Consider the following 26,391-nt stretch of genomic DNA (forward strand, 5'->3'; position numbering starts at 1 on the left):
ACCCAAGAGACAGAGGTTGCAGTGAGCCAAGATCATGTGACTGCACTCCAGCCTGGGTGACAGAATGAGACTGTCTCAAAAAAAAAAAAAATTACCCAGCCGTAAAAAAACTACCTGTGACAATTACTAAACTCAGTCTGGAAAACAAAATAGTAAATGAGAATTTTTAACAAATGGAATATATGTAGATATTAATTTTTTTCTGAAACTCACCTCTTTTACACCATTCGTAAATATTTTACCTTTTAATTTCCTTTACAAATTTTTCACTATTTGTCTTTCACTCTTTTTTCATCATTTTTTTTCACTATTTTTCTGCCCCCTTAGAGAATCCAGAAATTATTTCTATGTTTTTCCCTCAATACCAGCATCTGATTGACCAGCAATGTGTCCCAAGGAAACGGAAGCTGAGTTGGGTGAAGACAATCTTAATGTCTCAAGGTGTCAGCCTTTCCAAGGAAGAGTGCACCAGGAGATTTCTCTCAGCTCCAGGGCATCCACCTGCTCCCTCGAGAGGCTACACTTTGTACCTCAGGCAGTCCTGTGGGAGAAAATGACCCAGGAGCTGATATTCATTAGGCACTCTAGCAGACATAGTCATGGTGGGTATCATGGTTTATTCCCAGACAGTACTGAAACCCAGGACCAGGAAAAATCTGAAGGGTAGCCGAGGACACATCACCCCATAAAGTTTCCAAAGGGAAACTGTGACCCCCCAAAATTCTGATAAGATCTCTGTGCCTATGGAAGATAAAAGGAAAAGAGGCGCAGAGATTTTTTACAATAGTGTCCAGGGATTACTCTTTGCTTTCTTCTTACAGAAAATTTTTACAAACGGAAAACAAATCTTTTAAAAAGTACCATCCAATGATTTCTCAAAAAATGATTAATTAAAATATAGTATCAAAAATGTACACTAGGGCCGGGCGCGGTGGCTGACGCCTGTAATCCCAGCACTTTGGGAGGCCGAGGCGGGTGGATTACGAGGTCAGGAGATCAAGACCATCCTGGCTAACTTGGTGAAACCCTGTCCCTACTAAAAATACAAAAAAATTAGCCAGGCGTGGTGGCGGGCGCCTGTAGTCCCAGCTACTCAGGAGGCTGAGGCAGGAGAATGGCGTCAACCCAGGAGGCGGAGCTTGCAGTGAGCCGAGATCGCGCCACTGCACTCCAGCCTGGGCGACAGAGCAAGACTCCGTCTCAAAAAAAAAAAAAATTTACATTAGGCACAGTGGCTCACGCCTGTAATCCCAGCACTTTGAGAGGCCGAGGCGGGCAGATCACAAGGTCAGGAGTTCAAGACCAGCCTGTCCAACATGGTGAAACCCGTCTCTACTAAAAATACAAAAATTAGCCGGGCATGGTGGCGGGCGCCTGTAATCCCAGCTACTCGGGAGGCTGAGACAGGAGAATCACTTGAACCCGGGAGGCAGAGGTTGTAGTGAGCCGAGATCGTGCCACTGCACTTCAGCCTGGGCGACAGAGCGAGACTCCGTTTCAAAAAAAAAAAAAAAAAAATCTAACTCAAATACATTGTTTTTTGTAAAGTATTACATTGGGGGAAATAAAATTCTTGCTTAACCAACTATAAACTGCCAAGTACCCTCCGATTACATAACCAGAAAATTTCCACTTTGATCTTACAAATTAAGAAGTTATGTAACTGTACCTAACCGATTATTGAATTTGGTTTTATTCATCATACACCACTTAAAAGTCTTTCCTTCAAGCCCCTCCCATGGACCACAAATTACAAATCATAGCTGGGTGCTCTACGATTTTTGAACCACTCTTCTATTACATTTTTAAATATATTTGCAGTGACTTCCATGAATTTTTAATAGAAAAAAGGAGGGACTGGGACCCCATGGACCAAAGCGCTTCCCATTTATGAACCCTGCACCCCGAGTTATCGGCAGAGATGCGGCACTGCGGGTGCAGAGCTGCCCAGCGAGGGCTCCAGGCCAAGGCACAGTCACTGCGCAGGGAGGAGACATGACGCCCGGGGTCCGGCTGTCAGCCCAGCCGCCATCTTATGGCTGAAGGGGACTGAGGACCGAGCTGCGCCAAGGACAACTCGGGCCGCGGATTTTGGAGCCCAGTGCTTGGAGCCTGGAGTCCTGCCACAGCCACTTCCGACCGGTTCCAACCAGCCCCTCCCCCTCTCTCGGGGTGTCGGACCGCACTCTCACCATTTCTAGGCTTCCAGGTGGTCCTGGCATCTTAGCTGTGCATCTCCCAATACCTGCAGATAACGGAGTCACAGAGGCTGGGCCTCTAGGAGCAGAATACACAGAGCAGTAAAGACTAGACCTGGAGCTCCCGCAGCAGCTAGAGACAAAGGCCCCGCCAAATCCCGGAAGCCGTCCTGTCCGCTCCAGCTGCGTGCCTGATTGGACGGGTCCCAGCCCCGCGTCCCTGATTGGATAATGTTTAGGGCGCCACCCCCTAATGCCCTGAGTGACAGAATATGTGCTCAGCGGCTGGGCTGAACGTAGAAAGAGTGAAATCCAAGCTGCAGGGTTCTCAGGGAAGGGCTTCCTCCCTGAACGGACCAGGCTCACACCAGAGAGTATTTGCATATAACCCTGCGTATAAGGTCGTATGCCTTTATAAATAATATATTATGTGGCTATTCACACATGAAAATAATGCAATAACAATTATTTAAAATTTTCCAATTTTATGAGCTCCTGGCTTCTTGTCCTTTGAGCGGGTAGCCTGACATTTTTTTTTAAAAAGGCAGTCCTCTGAAATTGAATGTGAGCCACGTGAATTCTAAATTTTCTAGAAGGAAAATTTTAAAAAGAAAAAAAAACAGGAGGAATTCATTGTAGAAATTTAATTAACCCAATATATCCAAAATATTATCATTTTAATATGTGACCAGTATGTAATTATTAACAAAGTATATATATTTTGGAAAAAAAATTAAAACTATGTATTTTACCTTTCTACCACATCGCAGTTCAGACCAGCCACATTCCATGCACCCAGTAGCCACAGGTGGCCAATAGCTGCCACATTGAAGTGCAGCTCTGATGGCAGAAGATGAAATCCTGAACATCCCTTTTCTTTTTTCTTTTCTTTTCTTCCTTTCTTTTTATTTCCTTTCTCTTCTCTTCTTTTCTTTCTTTTCCTTTCTCTTCTCTTCTTTTCTTTTCAAACAGAGTCTTGCTCTTATGTCCAGGCTGGAGTGCAGTGGTGCAATCTCGGCTCACTGCAATCTCCACATTCCGGATTCAAGCAATTCTCCTGCCTTATTTTCCCCAGAGTAGCTGTGATTACAGGCATGTGCCACCATGCCTGGCTTATTTTTGTATTTTTAGTAGAAATGGAATTTTGCCATGTCAGCCAGGCTGGACTCAAACCCCTGACCTTAAGTAATCCTTCTGTCTCATCCTCCCAAAGTGCTGGGATTACAGCCATGAGCCACCACACTGGGCTTGAACATCCTTTTCCTGCCATAAATAAGGGGAAAGTCTTTCCCTACCAACATCTCTCTTCAGTTCCAAGGGTAGAACAGATAGTGGCCATAGAAAGAGCAGAGGACAGCAGGAATAAAATAACAACAGGAAGACCACCTGTTGCCCACCTTTCTTCCAGAGATCAGACAGTGAACAAAGGACGATGGGGCCACAGAAGAAGAATGCTCTATGTCTACAGATCCCTCCCTGGTCTTTCTTTTTCTTTTTTTCTTTTTTGAGACAGAGTTTTGCTCTTGTCACCCAGGCTGGAGTGCAATGGCGTGATCTCAACTCACTGCAACCTCTACCTCCCGGGTTCAAGTGATTCTAGTGCCTCAGCCTCCCGAATAGCTGGGATTACAGGCATGTGCCACCAAACCTGGCTAATTTTGTATTTTTAGTAGAGATGGGGTTTCTCCATGTTGGTCAGGGTTGTCTCAAACTCCCAACCTCAGGTGATCTGCCCACCTTGGCCTCCCAAAGTGCTGGGATTACAGGCATGAGCCACCACGCTCGGAAAACATTTTTATCTTCTAAACAAAACTCAATACCCCTGAAACAACTGCCCAATTTCCTATTATTTATCTTTTTCAAAATATCATTTTGGTTTCTGTTTCTAGCTATCTCATGTAAGTGGATTCGGACAGTATCTGTTTTTTGTGATTGTATACTTTATTTATGTTATTAAGATTCACCTCATTTTTTAATGTTACATTTCCTGATTTTGAAAAGTTGAGTTTAATATCTTCACTTATATCTTATTGTACACAGGAGAATTTATACTGGAGAGAAACCCTCAATCAGTTGTTGACACTTTCTTCAACTTTAGGAAATTTGTATTTTAGACAGACCCTATGAATAATATAATAAATAGAGAAAAACCATTTGTTCTAAGAAGTATACCTTAGAAAACACCAGAGTGTTCACATTAAATAATATTCTTCAAATTCAGTAAATGTAAAAAAAATTAGAAATCAAGTAGAAGTAATCATCAGGTAATTCGCAGTAGAAAACTCTAAGACACTAACATTTTAGACATTACTCTAAACAGTGTTTATTATACAGAGTAATCCAAAGTTAAAATATATCATTTACTTTTGTGTAAGACTAAAAGAAGCAAGGATTTATCTTTTGAGGCGTTATAGTTATATTTGACTTTTCTTGTTTTGCATGAAAAGAATTTTAAATTTTCAAAATATGAATGTTGAGGTAATTTAACTCTCAAATCACTTGATGTTATGCCTTCATTTGTAGCATTTATAGAAAAGCATTTGATCAATTGTTGGCTGCATTAAAACTATGAAAAATGCTTCTATGTTAGATTTGCTTTATTTATTTATTTATGAGATGGAGTCTTGCTCAGTCACCCAGGCTGGCGTGCAGTGGAGTAATCTAGACTCACTGCAACCTCTGCCTCCCAGATTCAAGCAATTCTCCTGCCTCAGCCCCCCGAGTAGCTGGGGCCACAAGCGCACACCACCATGCCCAGATAATTTTTGTATTTTCAGTACAGATTGGGTTTCACTATGTTGGCTAGGCTGGTCTTGAACTCCTGACCTCAGGTGATCCACCTGCCTCGGCCTCCCAAAGTGCTGGGATTACAGGTGTGAATCACCACGCCTGGCCTCATTTTTTTTTTTTTTTTTTTTTTGAGATGGAGTTTCGCTCTTGTCACCCAGGCTGGAGTGCAATCGCGCCATCTCAGCTCACTGCAACCTCCGCCTCCTGGGTTCAAGCGATTCTCCTGCTTCAGCCTCCTGAGTAGCTGGGATTACAGGCACCTGCCACCACGCCCGGCTAATTTTTCTATTTTTACTAGAGACAGGGTTTCACTACATTAGCCAGGCTTGTCTCAAACTCCTGACCTCAGGTGATCCACCAGCCTCAGCCTCCCAAAATGGTGGGATTACAGGCGTGAGCCACCATGCCCAGCCTCTCATATACTTTTTTATGGAGGATTATAGATACTGAAATTTAAGATGCAAGGAGAAAATTTAAGTGTAGACTCTCTTTGTGATTGACTCTATGGTAAGTCATAATACCCACAAAATGCATGAGGGAAATGTTTAGAGTCATAGTCTACTGCATTATAGTCAGAAAAATTTGAAGTTTAAAGAAGTAAATTGGTTTTACCAATTGCACATTAAGACAATAAAATACAGTTAATTCTAAGATGCTTGTTTTATTTTTTGCTTCAGTGAAAACTCAAACTTAATTGACAGTATTTTCAAAATTTCAGTCAAATTTTCAATGTGACATCATCTGTGTGTGTGTGTGTGTGTGTGTGTGTGTCTTCTTTTTTTTTTTTTTTTTTTTTTGGCGGAGTCTCACTCTGTCACCCAGGCTGGAGTGTGGTGGCACGATCTCGGCTCACTGCTACCTCCGCCTCACGGGTTTAAGCAATTCTCTGCCTCAGCCTCCCAAGTAGCTGGGATTACAGATGCTCGCCACCAAGCTGGGCTAATTTTTGTATTTTTAGTAGAGACTGGGTTTCACCATCTTGACCAGGCTGGTCTTGAACTCTTGACCTCGTGATCTACCCGCCTTGGTCCCCCAAAGTGCTGGGATTACAGGCGTGAGCCACTGCGACCAACCACTTCATCTTCTTTTTAATTTATGGCTGCCCATCTCCTGCTTCTATAATCTTAGCACGCTTCAGATTAGGTGGAGTCTTCTCTTTTACATCAGGGCCATCTTTGCACTTACTCCCAGTCTTTTCCAGATGCAATTTCCGGCAATCAGCTTCCAATTTACGTTGCTCAATCACAGGTGTTTATTCTTTCTCTTGTCCAGGTTTAATATCCTAATTCTCAGTTAGTGTTCTTTTTTTTTTTTTTTTTTGAGATTGAGTTTTGCTCTTGTTGCCCAGGCTGGAGTGCAATGGCATAATCTCAGCCCACTACAACCTCCGTCTACTGGGTTCAAGCAATTCTCCTGCCTCAGCCTCCCAAGTAGCTGGGATTACAGGCATGCACCACCACACCCGGATAATTTTTTTTTTATATTTTTAGTAGAGACAGGGTTTCTCTATGTTGGTCAGGCTGGTCTCGAACTCCTTACCTCAGGTGATCCACCCACCTCGGCCTCCCAAAGTGCTGGGATTACAGGCGTGAGCCACCACACCAACCAGTGGTTTCTTTTATTGAGATTCACGGTGCTTCTGGGAAGCCATGAATGCAACCAAATCAGATTCCTCTTGACCATCTCCTCTTCCTCTGAATCTTGATCTTACACATGCACTCATCACTGCAACTAGAAGACAGTGAACTGAAGACCACCAAGTCTCAGTCTCAGGTGAAAGAGTCTCAACCATTGGAATGCAAGCCACATCTAGCCTGTGTGAACATAATTTTTTTTTTTTTTTTGAGATGGAGTCTCCCTCTGTCGCCCAGGCTGGAGTGCAGTGGCGCAATCTCGGCTCACTGCAAGCTCTGCCTCCCGGGTTCCCACCATTCTCCTGCCTCAGCCTCCTGAGTAGCTGGGACTACAGGTGCCCGCCACCACGCCCGGCTAATTTTTTGTATTTTTAGTAGAGACGAGGTTTCACCGTGTTAGCCAGGATGGTCTCTATCCCCTGACCTCGTGATCTGCCCGTCTCGGCCTCCCAAAGTGCTGGGATTACAGGTGTGAGCCACCGCACCTGGCCGTGAACATAATTTTTTTTTTTTTTTTTGGAAAAAGGCATTTATTGGTGTGGTGGTCTCAACAATCCCCATGAATTGGAACACACAGCCCCCAGGGCCTCCCACCCCCTCCCTAGAATCCCTCCCCAGTCCCACCCCATCCCCTGGACCCTGGGAATGGAAGACAACGTGGGATGGGGCCCATGCCCCCGTCTGAGGTACAGTCACTGAGCCTTGCCCTCTCCTCTTCTCCACCAGACTCTGAGTGGTGTGGTTTGGGGTGGGTGTTTATATAGAGGGTCTCGTGGGAGTCGGAGTTGGTGACATGGCATCTTTATCTGGGCTCAGGATGTCTGTGTGATGCCTCTCTGTCCCCCACTTTGTGTGGTGTGGTGTACCAGGGCGGAGTATTCCTACAATCAGAGCTGAGGCTGCAGCCTCTCAGCGTCCCTTCCTGACAACAGATGCCTACCCAGGGGGAAATACAGCTAGTCACCAGCTACAGGACAGCTGGAGCCAGGGGGCTATTGCTGGTCACAGTCGCTGGTGTGTGTGTGTGTGGTGTGTCTGAGTGTGTGTGAGGGCGGTCAGGTAGCCTTTGGGAAGTACAGTTGGTGGAGAGGCCAGGAAGTGATAGACCAGCAAGCCCACACCTGTGGGCCAGCTGCAAAGGCCCCAGGGGCAGCTGGCTGGTTCCGCAGGTGGGGAAATCAAGGCCAAGGGGAGTGGTGGCAGGGGTAAGGCAAAGCACTGAAACAGACAGGTGACTCCTGCCACCAGTCTGACAGTTGGATGGAAGCACCGATTGGCCCAAGAGGGGGCCAGAAAATCCAGGGTGGGTAGGGACAGGAAAAGTGGGAAGGTCTCAGGCCACTGAGCCAGCGATGGAGCCTCTGGCTACAGGAAGCTGGTGGTTGACAGCAGGGAAGCCCAGAACCCAGATGGAGGTCCCCCACTTACTCGCAAAGGCTGAATGACAGCTTGACAGGTGAGTGCGATGCCCCTCCCCACTCCCAACCTGCCAGGAGTTGTCCTTTCGACAGGGGGAGGGGTCAGTGTGCCTGCATATATTGGGGAAGCAGGGAGCCTGGTAAGCCTCTCTTCACAGCTTCCACTGCAGAGCCTCATACCTACCTCCAGCCAGAGGTGAGAGGCAGTAGGGTTGGGGACAGTGGACATGGGGGTTTCGGGGGTGGGAGGACGGTTGAGTCCCTTCCCCCAGCCCACCCACACACACACACACAGAGACACAGACACCTACACACGCATGCAGGCTTACACTCACACACCCACACCCACACAAGCCTGTTGACAGCCTGAGCTAAGAGAGAGGGGTATGGGGTGGCGGGAGTGGGTCACAATCGGAAACGTGAACGGGTAGCGAGAATGGCTGTAGAAAGATACATAATTTTGCGTTACCCCTCACAGTGATGGGTTCTCTAAAGATCTTTCTTCCTCTGCCTCCTCCTCTTTCTCCTCTTCTCTTCTTCCTTGGTGGCCGAGAGCCCTTCTGCCCCCACGAGACCCAGGGCTCTTGCTCCCCCTTTTCTCTCACTCTTGGCCTGAGGCCCCCTGCAGGGGGAGGCGAGCTCCACTGGGTTGCGCCTACATTCTCCACCACAGCCAGCCCAGGGCGGAGAGGAGGGCCAGGGGCCCTGGGGGCCTCGGGGCTGAGTTCTCCAGGGATCCTGGGCACAGGAGCCGCATGGAGGCGCTGGACGCTCCCAGCCGGTTGGCGGCGCAACACGTATAGTTGCCGTAATGCCGGGCGCTCATGTTGGCAAAGAGAAGCATCGAGCGAGTGCGCTCCATCTGCACCTTCAGGCCCTCGGCCGTGCCGCTGCTCAGTAGTCTGTCATCCTTATACCACTGGAAATCCGCGGGGGAAACCGCCATGGCTTCGCAGCGCAGTAGGCGGCCCGGCCCAGCGCGGTGCGGGCGCTGGTCACGTCCGTGATGGTCGGAGGATAGTTGACTGTGACCAGCACGCGGCGGCTGTCGGGCGCCGAGTTAACCCCGTTGTGAGTCACGCACTCATACTCCCCGGCCTGGCCCCGCAGGATGTCAGAGATCTCCAGGATCTCTCCCTCCGAGGTGAAGCCGTCTCGGAGCTGTCTCCAGGTGACCGTGGGCTCTGGCCGCCCCACGGCCAGGCAAAGCAGGTTCACATTACCTCCCTCATTCACCATCACAGGCGACGAGATGTTCACAACGCGGGCAGGGACGTGGACAATGAGGTAGACCTGAGTGGTGTACGGCTGGTGGCGGGTCTGGAAGGAGCAGGTGTAGAGGCCCTCGTCGCCGAGCCCCACCTCGGTGACGAGGATGGAGAACTCCTCGGGGGTGTTGATGAGCAGCCGCACCCGCGGGTCCCTGGTCCTGCGGTCGTTGCCGGCGTACAGGATGTTGGAGCGGTTCAGCCAGGCCACGCGGGTCACATGCTCGTCCATGAAGCAGCTGAGGGTGGCGTTGTCACCTTCACACACTGTGTAGTTGTCGGCAGGAGAGTTGAACTCCAGCCTCTGGGAGAGCAGCCCCCGGCTGATGACGGCCAAGCCGGCCAGGGCGGCGGCGGCGAGAAGCCGGAGCCGGGCCCCGGGCGCAGCGGGGGGCATCGCGGCAGAGGCGGCACGGAGGGGGAGGGGAAAGGGGGGGCCGGTCCGGGGCGCGCGAGGCCTGGGGGGAGAGGGGCAAGGGGGAGGGGGAAGGGGGAGGGGGACCCCGCCTGCGGCTGCACCGGCCCGGGGTCGGGGGAGGGGGCTGGGGGGCGCGATCCATAATTTTTAAAATCAAACAAAAGTGGCTTTAGTGTGTTTAAATTGTTGTGCATTGAATGAAGTATATCCTGTCACCATCTGTAACCTATCCCACCTTAATCAAGGCTGCAGGTAACAAATGGTAATAATACATTATTGGGTAACATAGTAAAATGACATCTCTAGTAATCCCTTTTCCCAGTGCCTTTAAACTTCAAATAATTTGAAGAATGTTGTTCTCATAGATAACAACTTTATTTTTTCTATTATTTTTGTAGCTACAGGGCTATAATCTTAGTTATTATAAACACTTATTCAGAAGGATTTAATCATTCTTGGATCTTTCAAAGTTGAAAATACTTTAGTATATTTATGCTGATTGGAACCATTTACAATTAACATGTAATAAAGCATAAAGTCATTATCCAATTTTTCTAATTAATTAGCTTGTAGCAGATGACCATAAGAAATATTTATTTAATTCTGTTATGGCAATTGCTAATTGCCATAGTACATAGTACCATAGTAAACTGAACCTAACTGGATATATAAATAGACTGTAACCCATTCTTGTACCAACTACTGTGTTTATGCCAATAAAAGGACATCAACTTTTCGAACTATGTTCAAATAAGACATATCTCAAGCTGTAATCAATCTGGCTGTTTCTGTACCTCACTTTCTTTTTCTGTATGTTACTTTGCTGTTTCTGTCTATAAATCTTTTTTTACTATGTGGCTGTGTTGAAGTCTGAGCCTACTCTGGGCCCACAGATTGCCTGATTTGCAAATAATACTTTGCTCAATTAAACTCTGTAAAATTTAATTTCTCTAAAAGCTTTTTTCTTTGAAACGTTTTCAAATTTTTTTCTATGAAAAAAATAAGTAATGTGTTGTTGGACTTTGATTTCTAAACTCATCTCTCAGCTGTTTTCTCCACATTATTCTATGTCTTTTTTTTTTTTTTGAGATGGAGTCTCACTCTGTCGCCCAGGCTGGAGTACAGTGGCGCAATCTCGGCTCACTGCAAACTCCACCTCCTGGGTTCACGCCATTCTCCTGCCTCAGCCTCCCGAGTAGTTGGGACTACAGGCCCCCACCACCACACCCGGCTAATTTTTTGTATTTTTAGTAGAGACGGGGTTTCACCATCTTAGCCAGGATGGTCTTGATCTCCTGACCTTGTGATCTACCCGCCTCGGCCTCCCAAAGTACTGGGATTACAGGCATGAGCCACCACACCAGGCCAATTAATTTATTTGTTTTGAGACAGAGTTTTGCTCTTGTTGCCCAGGCTGGAGTGCAATGGTACGATCTCGGCTCACTGCAACCTCTGCCTCCCAGGTTCAAGCGATTCTCCTGCCCCAGCCTCCTGAGTAGTTGGGATTACGAACATGTGCCAACACTCCCAGCTAATTTTCTATTTTTAGTAGAGATGGGGTTTCTCCATGTTGGTCAGGCTGGTCTCAAACTCCCGACCTCAGGTGATCTGCCCACCTCAGCCTCCAAAAGTGCTGGGATTACAGTCGTGAGCCACCACGCCCAGCTATTTTATTTTCTTTTGAGACAAGGTCTCACTCCATCACCCAGGCTAAAGTGCAGTGGTGTAACCAATCATGGCTCACTGCAGTCTTAACCTTCCAGGCTCAAGCAGTCCTCCTGCCCCAGCCACCCGAGTAGCTGGGAATACAGGCATGCATTGTCATGCCTGGATAATGTCTTTTTCATGGAGACAGGATCTTACTATGTTACCCAGGCTGCACTTTAACTCCTGATATCAAATAATTCTCTCATCTCAGCCTGCCAAAGTGCTACGATTACAGGTATGAGCCACCATGTGCTTATGCAATTTATTGAGATTATTTCCAATAATAAACAGTACTATTTGGGCACAAATCTAAAAGGAATCTGGCTTCTATTTTAGAAGTGTTACTCTCCAGGATTTAGAGCCCTAGAGAGTGAGTCTCAGCCCAGTCACTTAATAGCTGTGGGTGTTTGGGCAATTTCTTGATGTGGAAGAGTTCTATAAGCCACATATATCCAAAAACAAAGCAAAACAAAACAAAAAGCTGAAAAACAGAATGATTCTGATTGCACAAATGGTAGCAATTTTTTGTTCTCCCTGTTCCATGCTCATTGCCAGGTGCTTTTACAGGTGTTCCCATGGAGATCCAGAATCTGTTTTCCAAACCCCAGATCTGGCTGGCCTTATTTGTTCGGGGTGGTAGACACCTGTGAACATGACAGTGTGCTAGTTTGAGGCCTAGGCTCAAGTGGTTTTAAATGCTTCTAATTGTTTTTTAGAATGCTGCCATCTCCATGAAAAAAGCCCATGTTCGCCAGCTGGAGGATAAGATACAACAGGGAGGAGAAGCAAGGTGCCCCTTGTTGACAATCCCAGAAGCAGAAGCTCATGCCCAGAAGCACAGCTGCCTAGTTGACAGGCTCAGCTGAGACCAGAAGAATGGCCCCACCAAGCCCAGCCTAAATGGCTGACCATCACAATTATGAGCTAAGAAGTTTTGGATGGTTTGTTATGCTGTAAGAGCTAACTAATACGTGCACCCAGTGCAGATAGGATGCCAAAAATTAATGGCAAGTTGATTACTAATTACGTTCTAACAGTGGGCACCCTAAAAGTGCTGACTTTTTTCCCCTGATTTAAAGTTAGATGTTTTGTAATACTGAGAAATGAATAAATACATGTAGACATGTGTGCATGTGATTGGTGCTTATACTCACACATTTCCATAAACCACAGGAGAAAACAGATAACCACAGCCTGACCATTAGGGCCAAGGCCAAATGGCAAAATAAGTTTACCTTTAATCTGTTTTCTCTATATTTATACACTGGAGGTCAAGACTGTGGACATATCTGAAGACATAGAGTTTTCTTCTCCTGTGGACCCATCATCCTTTGTTTACTGTCTGATCTCTGGAACAAAAATGGAAAACACGTTGGCAGCAGTGGTCTACCTGGGGTTATTTTATTTCTGCTGGCCTCTGTTCTTTCTTTTTTTTCTTTCTTTTTTTTGGAGACAGAGTCTTGCTCTGTTACCTGGGCTGGAGTGTAGTGGCATGATCTCGCTCACTAGAACCTCCACCTCCAGGGCTCAAGCAATTCTCCTGCCTCAGCCTCCCAAGTAATTGGGATTACAGGCACCTGCCACCATGCCCATCTAATTTTTGTACTTTTAGTAGAGATGGGGTTTCGCCGTGATAGCCAGGCTGGTCTCGAACTCCTGACCTCAAGTGATTCACCCGCCTCAGCCTCCCAAAGTGCTGGGATTATAGGCATGAGCTGCCGTGTCCGGCTGCCCTCTGCTCTTTCTATGGTCACTATCTTTTGCACCCTTGGAACGAAAGAGAGATGTTGGTAGGAAGAGGCTCTTCCTTTACCTCTGGCAGAAAAGGGATTTTCAGGCCGTTTGCCCACCCTGACATCACAGCTGCACTTCAATGTGACAGTTATTGGGTATATGTTGCTTCTGGGTGCTTGGAATGTGGCTGGTCTGAACTGCGATATGCTAGAAAGTTAGAGTAAAAATTATATATATTTCATTAATAATTACATATTGCTCACATATTAAAATGATAGTATGTTGGATATATTGGGTTAATTAAATGGTTACCGTTTATTCCACCTGTTGCTTCTTTCTTCTTAAAATTTGACTACTAGAAAATTTAGTATTCACATGTGGCCCACATTTTATTTCAGAGGATTGCCTTCTTTTTAAAATCTCAGGCTGCCTGCTCAAAGGACCAGAAGCCGGGAAGGTAATAAAATCTGGAATTTAAAAATAATTGTTATTACATTATCTTCACTTGTGAATAGCCATATAATATATTATTTATAAATGCACATATGATCTTTTACACATGGTTAAATGCAAATGCCCTCTGAGGCAGGCCTGGCTCAGCTCAGGGAGGAAGCCCTGCCTGAAAAAGCTGCAACTCTATTTTCATTCAGCCCTGCACCTGAGCACGTCTTCTGTCACTCAGGGCCTAAAGGGGTATGGTGTTAAACGTTATCCAATCAGGGACTCTGGGCTGGGATCCATCCAATCAGGCACGCAGCTGGAGTGGACAGGACGGCTTTCGAGATTTGGCGCGGCCTTTGTCTCTGGCTGCAGTCGTAGCTCCAGGTCTTTTCTTCTCTGTTCTGTGTCTTCTGCTCCTAGAGGCCCAGCTTCTGTGTCCCTGTGACCTGTAGGTATTGGGAGATCCACAGCTAAGATGCCAGGACCCCCTGGGAAGCCTAGAAAAATGGTGAGTCTGCTGGGTCAGACACCCCGAGAGAGGGGGAGGGGCTGGTTGGAACCAGTCTGAAGTGGCTGTGGCGGGACTCCGGCCTCCCCGCTGTCGGCTCCAAAATCCTTGGCCAGAGTTGTCCTTGGTACAGCTCGGCCCTCAGTCCCCTTCAGCCATAAGATGGCGGCTGAGCTGACAGCCAGGACCCCGGGCGTCCTGTCTCCTCCCTGCGCGGTGACTGTGCCATGGCCTGGAGCTCTCGCTGGGCAGCTCTGCACCGGCATCGCCGCATCTCTCCCCATTGTGCCGGGACCACGGGACGGTAGTCAAGGGAAAATCCTGACTCAGGGTGTGGGGTTCATGAATGAGAAGAGCTTTGGGCCGTGGTGTTTCCAGTGCCCCCGCCTTTTTTTTTTTTTTTTTTTTTTTTTTTTTGATTAAAAATTTATGGGAGTCGGGCCGGGCGCGGTGGCTCACGCGGTAATTCCAGCACTTTGGGAGGCCGAGGCGGGTGGATCACCTGAGGTCAGAAGTTCAAGACCAGCCTGGTCAACAGGGTGAAACCCCGTCTCTACTAAACATACAAAAATTAGCTGGGCGTTGTGGCAGGCGCCTGTAATCCCAGCTACCCTGGAGGCTGAGGCAGGAGAATAGCTTGAACCCGGGAGGCGAAGTTTGCAGTGAGTCGAGATCGCGCCATTGCGCTCCAGCCTGGGCAAGAAGAGCGAAACTCCGTCTCAAAAAAAAAGAAAAAAAAAGTATGGGAGTCAAGGTAAAAATATTAAAGAACAAAATCAAAGAGTAATTCAAGGGCCGGGCGCGGTGGCTTACGCCTGTAATCCCAGCACTTTGGGAGGCCGAGGCGGGCGGATCACGAGGTCAGGAGATCAAGACCATCCTGGCTAACACGGTGAAACCCCGTCTCTACTAAAAATACAAAAAATTAGCCAGGCGTGGTGGCAGGCTCCTGTAGTCCCAGCTACTCAGGAGGCTGAGGCAGGAGAATGGCGTCAACCCAGGAGGCGGAGCTTGCAGTGAGCCGAGATTGCGCCACTGCACTCCAGCCTGGGCGACAGAGCGAGAATCCGTCTCAAAAAAAAAAAAAAAAAAAAAAAAAAGAGTAATTCAAGAATTGAAGAGCACCCAGCTAGCAGCTATGGTGTGTAGTTTGTGGTCCATGAAAAACTTTATATATAAAAGTTTATTTATTTTTATTTATAATGAGATTTTACTGCTTCTCTTATATCTCTACATAGTACTTTCTATAACGATTCCTTTTTTTATTTTTTTGGTTTTTTTTTTATACTTTAAGTTCTAGGGTACATGTGCACAACGTGTAGCTTTGTTACATATGTATACATGTGCCATGTTGGTGTGCTGCACCCGTTACCTTGTCATTTACATTAGGTGTATCTCCTAATGCTATCCCTCTCTCCTCCCCCGACCCCACGACAGGCCCCGGTGTGTGATGTTCCCCACCCTGTGTCCAAGTGTTCTCATTGTTCAATTCCCACCTATGAGTGAGAACATGCGGTGTTTGGTTTTCTGTCCTTGAGATAGTTTGCTCAGAATGGTGGTTTCCAGCTTCATCCATGTCCCTAAAACTTTAAATATAAAAGAAAAACTTTATATATAAAGTGCATGATGGAGAAACCCAAATTCAATAACTGATTTAGTAGAGTTATGTAGTTTCTTAATTTGTACGATCAAGGTGGACATTTCCTGGTTAGGTATTCATTGGTTAATTGGCAGTTTATAGTTGGTTAAGGCTGAATTTTGTTTCCCCAAAGAGTAATTTACAAAAAAAATGCATTAGATTGCCGGTCGCGGTGGCTCACGCCTGTAATCCCAGCACAATGGGAGGCCGAGGCGGATGGATCACGGAGACCAGCCTGACCAACATGGAGAAACCCCGTCTCTACTAAAAATACAAAATTAGCTCTCCCTCTCCCTCTCCCTCTCCCCCTCCCCCTCCCCCTCCCCCTCCCCCTCTCTCTCCCTCTCCTCTCCCCACGGTCTCCCTCTCCCCACGGTCTCCCTCTCCCCACGGTCTTCCTCTCCCTCTCTTTCCACGGTCTCCCTCTGATGCCGAGCCGAAGCTGGACTGTACTGCTGCCATCTCGTTTCACTGCAACCTCCCTGCCTGATTCTCCTGCCTCAGCCTGCCGAGTGCCTGCGATTGCAGGCGCGCGCCGCCACGCCTGACTGGCTTTTCGTATTTTTTTGGTGGAGACGGGGTTTCGCTGTGTTGGCCGGGCTGGTCTCCAGCTCCTAACCGCGAGTGATCGCCAGCCTCGGCCTCCCGAGGTGCCGGGATTGCAGACGGAGTCTCGTTCACTCAGTGCTCAATGGCGCCCAGGCTGGAGTGCAGTGGCGTCATCTCGGCTCGCTACAACCTCCACCTCCCAGCCGCCTGCCTTTGCCTCCCAAAGTGCCGAGATTGCAGCCTCTGCCCGGCCGCCACCCCGTCTGGGAAGTGAGGAGCGTCTCTGCCTGGCCGCCCATCGTCTGAGATGTGGGGAGCACCTCTGCCCCGCCTCCCCATCTGGGATGTGAGGAGCGCCTCTGCCCGGCCGCCATCCCATCTAGGAAGTGAGGAGCGTCTCTGCCCCGCCGCCCATCGTCTGAGATGTGGGGAGCACCTCTGCCCCGCCTCCCCATCTGGGATGTGAGGAGCGCCTCTGCCCGGCCGCGACCCCATCTGGGAGGTGAGGAGCGTCTCTGCCCGGCCGCCACGTCTGAGAAGTGAGGAGCCCCTCTGCCCGGCCACCACCCCGTCTGGGAGGTGTACCCAACAGCTCATTGAGAACGGGCCATGATGACAATGGCGGTTTTGTGGAATAGAAAAGGGGGAAAGGTGGGGAAAAGATTGAGAAATCGGATGGTTGCTGTGTATGTGTAGAAGGAAGTAGACATTGGAGACTTTTCATTTTGTTCTGTACTGGGAAAAATTCTTCTGCCTTGGGATCATGTTGATCTGTGACCTTACCCCCAACCCTGTGCTCTCTGAAACATGTGCTGTGTCCACTCAGGGTTAAATGGATTAAGGGCGGTGCAAGATGTGCTTTGTTAAACAGATGCTTGAAGGCAGCATGCTCCTTAAGAGTCATCACCACTCCCTAATCTCAAGTACCCAGGGACACAAACACCGCGGAGGGCCGCAGGGTCCTCTGCCTAGGAAAACCAGAGACCTTTGTTCACTTGCTTATCTGCTGACCTTCCCTCCACTATTGTCCTATGACCCTGCCAAATCCCCCTCTGCGACAAACACCCAAGAATGATCAATAAAAAAAAAAAAAAATACAAAACTAGCTGGCGTGGTGGCACATGCCTGTAATCCCAGCTACTTGGGAGGCTGAGGCGCGAGCCTGAGGCAGGAGAATTACTTGAACCTGGGAGGCGGAGGTTGCGATGAGCAGAGATTGCGCCATTGCACTCCAGCCTGGGCAACAAGAGCAAAACTGTCTCAAAAAAAAAAAAAAAGAAAAGAAAAGAAAAGAAAAGCATTAGATTTAGAATGCATTTAAATTTTTGCCATTCAGTATGCATTTTATATTCCGTATTTTAATCATTTTTTGATAAAGCGTTGGATGGCACTTTGTTTTCTGTTTGAAATTATTTCCCATGAGAAGAAAGCAGAATAATTCCCCTGACGCTTTATTGTAAAAAATCTCTGTGCCTCTTTTCCTTTTATCTTTCCTAGCCACAGAGATTTTATCAGAATGTTTTTGGGTGAAGGTTTCCCTTTGGAAACTTTATGGAGTGATGCGTCCTTAGCCACCCTTCAGTTTTTTTCTGGTCCTGGGTTTCAGTACTGTCTGGGGATAAATCAAGATATCCACTGTGGCTATGTCGGCTAGAGTGTCTAGTGAATATCAGCTCCTGAGTCATTTTCTCCCATAAGACAACCTGAGGTATGGAGTGTAGCCTCTCAAGGGAGCAGGTGGGTGCCCTGGGGCTGAGAGGAATCTCCTGGTGTAGTCTTCCTCGGAAAAGCAAACCTTTTTAGATTTTTTTTTTTTTTTTTTTTGAGACAGAGTCGCGAAAACTGGAGTGGAGTGGCGCGATCTTGGCTCACTGCAACCTCTGCTTCCCAGCTTCAAGCAATTCTTCTGCCTCAGCCTCCCAAGTCGCTGGGATTACAGGCGCCCACCACACCCAGCTAATTTTGTTGTTGTTATTGTTGTTTGTCTCGCTCTGTCGCCCAGGCTGGAGTGTAGTGGCGCGATCTCCGCTCACTGCAAGCTCCGCCTCCCGGATTCATGCCATTCTCTAGCCTCCTGCCTCAGCCTCCCGAGTAGCTGGGACTACTGGCGCCTGCCACCACGCCCGGCTAATTTTTTGTATTTTTCATAGAGATGGGGTTTCACCATGTTAGCCAGGATGGTCTCGATCTCCTGACCTCATGATCTGCCTGCCTCGGCCTCTCAAAGTGCTGGGATTACAGGCGTGAGCCACCGCGCCCGGCCTAATTTTTGTGTTTTTAGTAGAGATGGGGTTTTGTCATGTTGGCCAGGCTGGTTTCGAACTCCTGACCCCAGGTAATCTGCCCATCTCGGTCTCCCAAAGTGCTGGGATTACAGGCGTGAGCTACCGTGTCCAGGCTTTTTTAGATATTAAGATTGTCTTTGCCCAACCCAGCTTATTTCTTGGAGACACATTGCTGGTCAGCCAATCAGATGCTGCCATTGAGGGTGAAGCACAGAAATAATTTCTGCCACCTGTATTCTCTAAGATTTGTGAAAGAAAAAGTAGTATCCCCAAAGACAAAAAACCCAAACATGACCCCAGTGAAATGGTGCAAGAACTTGCAAAGTAAAAAGCATCTGGGGCACTCACTGAGGCATAGGGCAGTGTCTCCTGAGAGGGTGGTCTTTGAGAACTTAAATAAGTAGGATGGGGTGGGAGAATCTTTCAAGTGATTAGATGGCCTGATTTGACACGTGAGTCAGACACATTTGTTTTCTCATCAGTACTGCCACTCTTTAGGTTTGTTACCTTGAAAAAATTTGTTCACTTATTTTGACTTCAGCTTTTAAACTGTAACTTGCATTTTATTAGTGGGACTTAAAAGGTAAGAAAATGTTCACAAAGGGTATCAAAGAGGTGGGTTTCAGAGTAAATTAATACCTAATTTCATACTCCATTTGTTAACGATTCTCATTTACCTTTTTCTTGCCCAGAGTGAGTTCTGGAATTTTCTCAGGTGTGTGTGTCTTTTTTAAATGGCTGGGTGATTACAAACAGAATTCCAAGACTTAGCTTTTAGAATGCTACCAAGGAAAAGAATAGAAAAAAACTCTCTTTCATTTTGGCTGCAGAAAATAAATACATTTCCACAAGAAAATGTGGTAAATAATTGGTGAGTTACATAGATTTATGAAAACATCAGTTCCTCCTTTGGCAGAGTAAATTTGTGACACTATGTTCTATATCCTATCATCTTGATTTCTGAGATTTATGCTAAATTTTATGAGCTGAAACTTGATACTCCTAGAAGTGTTCCCATATGACTAGTTGTCTACTACATAATTTTTTTTTTTTTGAGACAATCTCGCTCTGTCGCCTAGGCTGGAGTGCAGTGGCACAAGCTGGACTCACTGCAACCTCTGCCTCCCACGTTGAAGTGATTCTCCTGCCTCAGCCTCCCGAGTAGCTGGGACTACAGGTGTGTGCCACCATGCCCGGCTAATTTTTTTTTTTTTTTTTTTTTTTTTAGTAGAGATGGGATTTCACCGTGTTACCCAGGATGGTCTCGGTCTCCTGACCTCGTGATCCTGACCTCATGATCCACACGCCTCAGCCTCCCAAAGTGCTGGGATCACAGGTGTGAGCCACCACGCCTGGCCTACTACATAATTTTTAATAGAAATAATAATGGGGCCGGGCGCGGTGGCTCAAGCCTGTAATCCCAGCACTTTGGGAGGCCGAGGCGGGCGGATCACGAGGTCAGGAGATCGAGACCATCCTGGCTAACACCGTGAAACCCCGTCTCTACTAAAAATACAAAAAAATTAGCTGGGCGTGGCGGCGGACGCCTGTAGTCCCAGCTACTTAGGAGGCTGAGGCAGGAGAATGGCGTGAACCCGGGAGGCGGAGCTTGCAATGAGTTGAGATCGCGCCACTGCACTCCAGCCTGGGCGACAGAGCGAGACTCCGTCTCAAATTAAAAAAAAAAAAATAATAACGGGTTTATTTTTTGAAAGGAATAGATACTTTTGCATTTCTTATTGAGGTATAAAATATAACTGTCGGCCGGGTGCGGTGGCTCACTCCTGTAATCCCAGCACTTTGGGAGGCCAAGGCAGGCGGATCACCTGAGGTCAGGAGTTCAAGACCAGCCTGGCCAACATGGTGAAACCCCGTCTCTACTAAATATACAAAAATTAGCTAGGCGTGGTGGCGGGTGCCTGTAATCCCAGCTACTCAGGAGGCTGAGGGAGGAGAATCTCTTGAACGTGGGAGGCAGAGATTGCAGTGAGCCGAGATTGTGCCACTGTGCTCCAGCCTGGGCAAGAGAGCAAGACTGTCTGAAAAGAAAAAAAAAAAAATTCTTCTCTTATATTAACACCATGTTTGAGTAATTTTGCTGGATTTTTCAAACACTTAGTTTCAAAAACCAAATGAATAACTGACATGGAAATTAAGGCTTGAGCCCTGTGACTTCAAGCTAAGGCTAATATTGAGTCTGCAAAAGGAGGTTATTAAAAGTCCCAGTTAGTTCTTTCTGGGGAGCCGCCCCTGCAGATGTCCCAGCTTGCTCACACCAGCCGTGGAAGAAGCCTTTATACTGAGAGAAGCTACAGACCCCTGGAAAGCTGGGGACCCACAGGCAGATGCAGTTAAAGTTAAAATGGAAAAGGAATGGGAGGGTCTTACTGAAAATAAAGTTGTTATTGTTTTGAGGCAGTTTCTAGATTTTGTAAAATAAAACAAAATTAGGTTTCTATTAAAACATTTGAATTTTAAAAGAGTATTGCAACAGAAGGAAGTACCAGCTATAAAATCTTTAAGGATTGCAAAGTTTAGGCAGACAAAGGCTTTCTTTCATAGGGAGGAGAAAACAAGATTAGAAAGAAGGTGGAAGGGGAATGGCAAATGGAGTGAGAAAATATCAAGATTTTGGATTAGGAAGTGTTGTACCCTGAAGTCAGCATGTTCTTAGGAAGGATATAAAATGGAATTGTATGTTGGCTCAGACTGGTGGGAGGGATCTAGGCAGTATGGCTTGCTGCCTGGATGGATGTTGATAAGATGTTCTTGTGGTCAGGCAGTTTGGCCCTTTTTCCAGCAAGATGTAATAAGGAGGTTGCTTGGACTGTTACACAGACGTGTGTGATAAGAAAATCCTGTGGTTGGGCAGGATGTTTGGCACGGCCCGAATCCCCGTGGAATGTTTCATTCTGACCATGGTCTGCGAAATGGTGGTGGTGGGGGGCTTACAAAATGGTGCAGCTTGGACTAACAATCAGAATTCAAGTTTTAGACAGTGCGTTGGTGTTGGAGAATTACTTGATATTCAGCAAACTACAGATTTGGTGCCAGAAGAAAGATATCTCAGAGGCCTGGCCTGGAATGTAACTCTAGGTATCTGGGAAAGGGAGGCTCTGCTCTCCTGTACACAGGCTGTCACACTGCCCATTGTCCTGTGATTCAGGTCACCTCCCAGGGTGAGAGAGGACTGAAAACTTAAAGGAAAGGAGCGCTGATAACAGATCACCTTTTCCCCACAGCTACCACCACAGGATTTTCACCCACTAACAAAGATACCTACTAGAGGCCCCGCCCCGCCCCGCCTCCCCGCGCCGTTGGCTGAGGCTTAGGGCTGCGACCCCCAGCACCCCTGCGAACGTGGCGCTGGAGAGTGGCGCTGCGAGTGGCGCGGAGCATGTGTGCGGGCGCACCCTTCACGCGGCCCTGTCACCCGCCGCGCCCTGCCCGCCGAGGCCCTGGCAGCTGGGGGGTGGGCGCTGTTCGGACGCTGCGCGCGGGACCACCTCTGCTCTCGGTGCGTAAATTCACAGAGAAACATGAATGGATGGCAACAGAAAATGATATTGGAACACTGGGAGTCAGCAGTTTTGCACAGGAAACGTTGGGAGATATTGTTTACTGTAGTCTGCCTGAAGTTGGGACAAAAGAACAAACAAGATGAGTTTGGTGCTTTGGAAAGTGTGAAAGCTGCTAGTGAACTCTATTCTCCTTTATCAGGAGAAGTAACTTAAATTAATGAAGCTCTTGGAGAAAATCCAGGACTTGTAAACAAATCTTGTTATGAAGATGGTTGGCTGATCAAGATGACACTAAGTAACCCTTCAGAACTAGATGAACTTATGAGTGAAGAAGTATATGAGAGATAGAGAAAATCTATTGAGGAGTGAAAATGGAACCCCTAAATAAACTAGTGTGAAATAACCCAGCAGAGCTGTCTTAAATTAGTGGTGGATGGAAGACTTAGAATAGCAACTTTCAGCATTACCGATGGGGGGGGGGAGGAAAAACTACTGTTAACACTGCTAATGAAAGAAAATGCCCTTTAACTTTCTAATGATTATAGATAAAGATAATACACGTCTTTTCCACAATATCCTATGATTTTTAGTCTAGGCTCTGGTATTCAGAATTCATGAGATTATCCATGGTAAAAACTGGTTATAAAAATTACATAATTCAAAGATAATGTTATTCTTAAGCTTTATATAATATTGTAACTTGCATATATCCATACCTGGATTTGGCCTGAAATACTTAATGATCTTTCTATTGGAAATAACTGGGAGTGAAGAGGTTTTTGTTGCTTGTACAGTGTCAGATGAGGAACAATACTATCTTAATTTTGCAATACACTGCATTTGCTGATGCTATTTTTACACAGTGAAGCAACAGCTTTGCAGCAAAATAATAAAATATTTTTTTGTTAATCATGTTTTTTGTTTTGATGTTGATATTTCATTTAGTGACTCTGCTAGTATTTGTGAAAGTGCTAACTTTAACTTATGGAAAGTTACTTTTTTTTTTTTTTTTTTTTTTTTTGAGACGGAGTCTTGCTCTGTAGCCCAGGCTGGAGTGCAGTGGCACTATCTCCGCTCACTGCAACCTCCGCCTCCCGGGTTCACCCCATTCTCCTGCCTCAGCCTCCCAAGTAGCTGGGACTACAGGCGCCCGCCACCACACCCGGCTAATTTTTTGTATTTTTAGTAGAGACAGGGTTTCACTGTGTTAGCCAGGATGGTCTCAATCTCCTGACCTCCTGATCCGCCCACCTCGGCCTCCCAAAGTGCTGGGATTACAGGCGTGAGCCACTGCGCCCGGCCGGAAAGTTACTTTTTAAAAGGAAATTTAAGCCAGAACAATGAAAAGCTCCAAGAAAATGTTTCCTTTAGTCACAAATCTAGTTTTTCTTAAGCCAAGATTTGTCACCTTTAACATAATAAAAAATAAATCACTGACTTTGAGTTTCTGGGAAAAAAAAAAAAAAAGATGCTAGACATTGAGGTGTTCACACCCCTCCCAGGAATAGACACCACCCCCCAGGAATTTCACCACAGCATATTTTATCCTGGTATTTCTTGCCAAAACCCTCAAAAGTGTCCACAAGGCTCCTGACATATTCCTATACCAAGACACTGAATCTGCAGTACGAACCCGTTTTCTCCACCAGCCTGGGATTCTGGACCATCTGTTCATAATCTCATCTGCCTTCATGGACACAAATGAGAGGACAGCGGCACCTGGGCCACTATCTGTAGCATAGACCAGATACATTGTACTGTCCTTCCACCTACATTGTACTGTCCCCCACCCATGGATTTTTTTTCTTTTCTTTTTTTTTTTTTTTTGAGATGGAGTTTTGCTCTTTTTGTCCAGGCTGGAGTGTAATGGTGTGATCTCAGCTCACTGCAACCTCCACCTCCTGGGTTCAGGTGATAAGTGATTCTCCTGCCTCAGCTTCTTGAGTAACTGGGATTACAGGTGTGTGCCACCACACCCAGCTAATTTTGTGTTTTTAGTAGAGATGGGTTTCACCATGTTGGCCACGCTGGTCTCGAACTCCTGACCTCAGGTGATCTGCCCACCTTGGCCTCCCAAAGTGCTGGGATTACAGGTGTGAGCCACCATGGCTGGTTGATTTTTTTTTTTTCTTTTAACTTTCATTTTTGATTCAGGGGTACACGTGCAGGATTGTTTTATAGATAAAACTGTGTTATGGGGCTATGGTGTGCAGATTATTTTGTTGCTGAGGTACAAGCATAGCACTAAACAAGTATTGATTTGATCCTTTTTGTCCTTTCATCCTCCACCCTGAATTAGGCTTTAGTGTCTGTTGTTCCTCTCTTTGTGTCCATGTGTTCTTATTATTTAGCTCTTATAAATGAGAAAATGCATTTGGCTTTGTTTCTGCATTAATTTTCTAAAGATAATGGTCTCCAGCTCTATCCATGTTGCTGCAAAGAAAATAATCTTGGTCTTTTTTATGGCCACACAGTATTCCATGATGTTTATGTACCATATTTTGTTTTTATTAAGCCTTTTATTTTTGGAGGCAGGGTCTAATGCTGTAGTCCAGGCTGCAGTGCAGTGGTGTGATCTTGGCTCGCTGCAGCCTCAACCTCCTGGGCTCAAGAAATCGTCCTACCTCAGCCCCCCAGGTACTTGGGACTACAGGCATGCACCGTTATTCCTGGCTAATTTTTCTTTTTTTTTTTTCTTTCTTTCTTTCTTTTTAGACAGATCCTCCCTCTGTTGCCAGGTTGGAGTGCAGTGGTGCAATCTTGCCTCACTGCAACCTCCGCCTTCTGGGTTCAAGTGATTCTCATGCCTCAGCCTCCTGAGTAGCTGGGATTATAGACACACTACACGACACCCAGCTAATTTTTGTATTTTTAATAGAGACAGGGTTTCACCATGTTGGCCAGGCTGGTCTTGAACTCCTGACCTCATGATCCGCCTGCCTCAGCCCCCCAAAGTGCTGGGATTACAGGCATGAGCCACTGCGCTCAGCCTAATTTTTCATTTTGTATTTTTTGTAGAGATGGGGTTTTTCCACATTTCCCAGGCTGGTCTCGAACTTTTGAGCTCAGGCAATCCACATCACTTGGCCTCCCAAACAGGTGTGTGATCCAGTGTACCCTGCCATATTATATTTTCTTTATCCAGTCTACCATTGATAGGTATACCAGGTGATTCTATGTTTTTGTTATTGTGAATAGGGCTGCAGTGAACATACATGTGCATGTGTCTTTATGATAAAATAATTTATATTACTTTGGTTATATATCCAATTATGAGGTTGCTTAGTTAAATGGTAATTCTCTTTTTAGTTTTGTGATAAACACACTCCTTTTCACAGTGGTTGAAATAATTTATACTCCCACTAATAGTGTATACCATTCCTTTCTCACTTCAACCTTGCCAGCATCTGTGATTTTTTGACTTTAATAATAGCAATTCTGACTGGTGTGAGATGCTATTGTGGTTTTTCTCTGCATTTCTCTAATAACTAGTGATGTGCATTTTTTCATATGCTTGTTAGCCACATGTATGTCTTTTTTGAAAAGCATCTGTTCATGTCTTTTGCCTACTTTATAATGTTGTTTTTATAAATTTATGTATGTTCCTTATGGATGCTGGATGTTAGACGTTTCTCAGAAGCATAGTTTGCAAATATTTTCTTTTAGTTTGTAGGTTGTCTGTTTACTGTGTTGATAGTTTTCTCTGCTGTGAAATACCTCTTTAATTAGGTCCCATTTGTCAATTTTTGCTTTTGTTTCAATTGCTTTTCTTACCTTCATCATAAAATTATTGCCAGTTTCTATGTCCAGAATGGTATTTCCTAGGTTATCTTCCAGGGTATTTTATAATTTTTTTTTTTTTTTGAGATGCAGTCTCGGTCTGTCGCCCAGGCTGGAGTGCAGTGGCACGATCTTGGCTCACTGCAAGCTCTGCCTCCTGGGTTCATGCCATTCTCCTGCCTCAGCCTCCCCAGCAGCTGAGACCACAGGCGCATGCCACCATGCCCAGCTAATTTTTGTATTTTTAGTAGAGATGGGGTTTCACTGTGTTAGCCAGGATGGTCTCGATCTCCTGACCTTGTGATCCACCCGCCTCAGCCTCCCAAAGTGCTGGGATTACAGGCATGAGCCACCGTGTCTGGCCGGATATTTTATAATTTTAAGTTTCACATTTAAGTCCTTAATTTATCTTGAGTTGATTTTGGTACATGGTGTAATAAAGGCATTTGGTTTCAATCTTCTACATAGTGTTAGCTAATTATTACAGCACTATTTATTAAT

At 46.3% G+C, this 26,391-nt stretch overlaps 1 protein-coding gene, 2 long non-coding RNA genes and 3 pseudogenes across 13 annotated transcripts in view, besides 4 other annotated features; 3 read left to right on the plus strand and 3 right to left on the minus strand.

Annotated features, from left to right (window-relative positions):
• ZNF680 (zinc finger protein 680) overlaps positions 1 to 2,339 on the minus strand; it is a 64,003-nt gene extending 61,664 nt beyond the window's left edge. For 6 of the 9 annotated variants that reach the window (XR_428175.5, XR_001744687.2, XR_007060018.1 and 3 more), the window contains exon 1: positions 2,193 to 2,339. Coding sequence is in view for 3 of the 9 variants with exons in the window: in NM_178558.5 (NP_848653.2) it covers positions 2,193 to 2,222 (30 nt within the window). In the remaining 6 variants the exon portion in view is untranslated. Of the gene's footprint in view, positions 1 to 213; positions 542 to 2,192 lie in introns of those variants that run through there. The other 3 variants (XM_047420309.1, XM_047420310.1, XM_047420311.1) reach the window with 1 other exon arrangement.
• Positions 1,928 to 2,287: an enhancer, noted in NCBI's record as "active region_26058". NCBI's record gives its function as "activates an Ori minimal core promoter by ATAC-STARR-seq in GM12878 lymphoblastoid cells {active_cell/tissue: GM12878}" and the evidence as "EXISTENCE:reporter gene assay evidence [ECO:0000049][PMID:35858748]".
• Positions 2,388 to 2,497: a silencer, noted in NCBI's record as "silent region_18196". NCBI's record gives its function as "represses an Ori minimal core promoter by ATAC-STARR-seq in GM12878 lymphoblastoid cells {active_cell/tissue: GM12878}" and the evidence as "EXISTENCE:reporter gene assay evidence [ECO:0000049][PMID:35858748]".
• LOC100133092 (PAGE family member 4 pseudogene) lies at positions 6,064 to 6,745 on the minus strand (annotated as a pseudogene).
• On the minus strand, positions 7,138 to 9,705 carry LOC100129293 (IgLON family member 5 pseudogene; annotated as a pseudogene).
• LOC124901657 (uncharacterized) lies at positions 7,943 to 12,561 on the plus strand. Of its 2 annotated transcripts, none has more exons than XR_007060357.1 (2): positions 7,943 to 8,236; positions 12,150 to 12,561. It is a non-coding gene; the product is annotated as an uncharacterized LOC124901657 (long non-coding RNA). The 2 variants fall into 2 exon arrangements; XR_007060356.1 differs by lacking the exon at positions 7,943 to 8,236 and adding an exon at positions 9,186 to 9,327.
• LOC100128885 (uncharacterized) overlaps positions 13,963 to 26,391 on the plus strand; it is a 43,895-nt gene continuing 31,466 nt past the window's right edge. Inside the window, exon 1 of the long non-coding RNA NR_077227.1 lies at positions 13,963 to 14,116. This is a non-coding gene — a long non-coding RNA (uncharacterized LOC100128885). The remainder of the gene's footprint in view (positions 14,117 to 26,391) is intronic.
• Positions 14,042 to 14,542: an enhancer, noted in NCBI's record as "H3K27ac hESC enhancer chr7:64035152-64035652 (GRCh37/hg19 assembly coordinates)". NCBI's record gives its function as "activates a minimal SCP1, AML or CMV promoter by ChIP-STARR-seq in naive H9 embryonic stem cells {active_cell/tissue: H9 hESC(naive)}" and the evidence as "EXISTENCE:reporter gene assay evidence [ECO:0000049][PMID:30033119]".
• Positions 14,254 to 14,313: an enhancer, noted in NCBI's record as "active region_26059". NCBI's record gives its function as "activates an Ori minimal core promoter by ATAC-STARR-seq in GM12878 lymphoblastoid cells {active_cell/tissue: GM12878}" and the evidence as "EXISTENCE:reporter gene assay evidence [ECO:0000049][PMID:35858748]".
• LOC641746 (glycine cleavage system protein H (aminomethyl carrier) pseudogene) lies at positions 21,878 to 23,019 on the plus strand (annotated as a pseudogene). Its single transcript, NR_033245.1, has one exon. The product of NR_033245.1 is annotated as a glycine cleavage system protein H (aminomethyl carrier) pseudogene (transcript).

Source organism: Homo sapiens, chromosome 7, assembly GCF_000001405.40.
Source record: "Homo sapiens chromosome 7, GRCh38.p14 Primary Assembly".
In the NCBI taxonomy this organism is placed as follows: domain Eukaryota; kingdom Metazoa; phylum Chordata; class Mammalia; order Primates; family Hominidae; genus Homo; species Homo sapiens.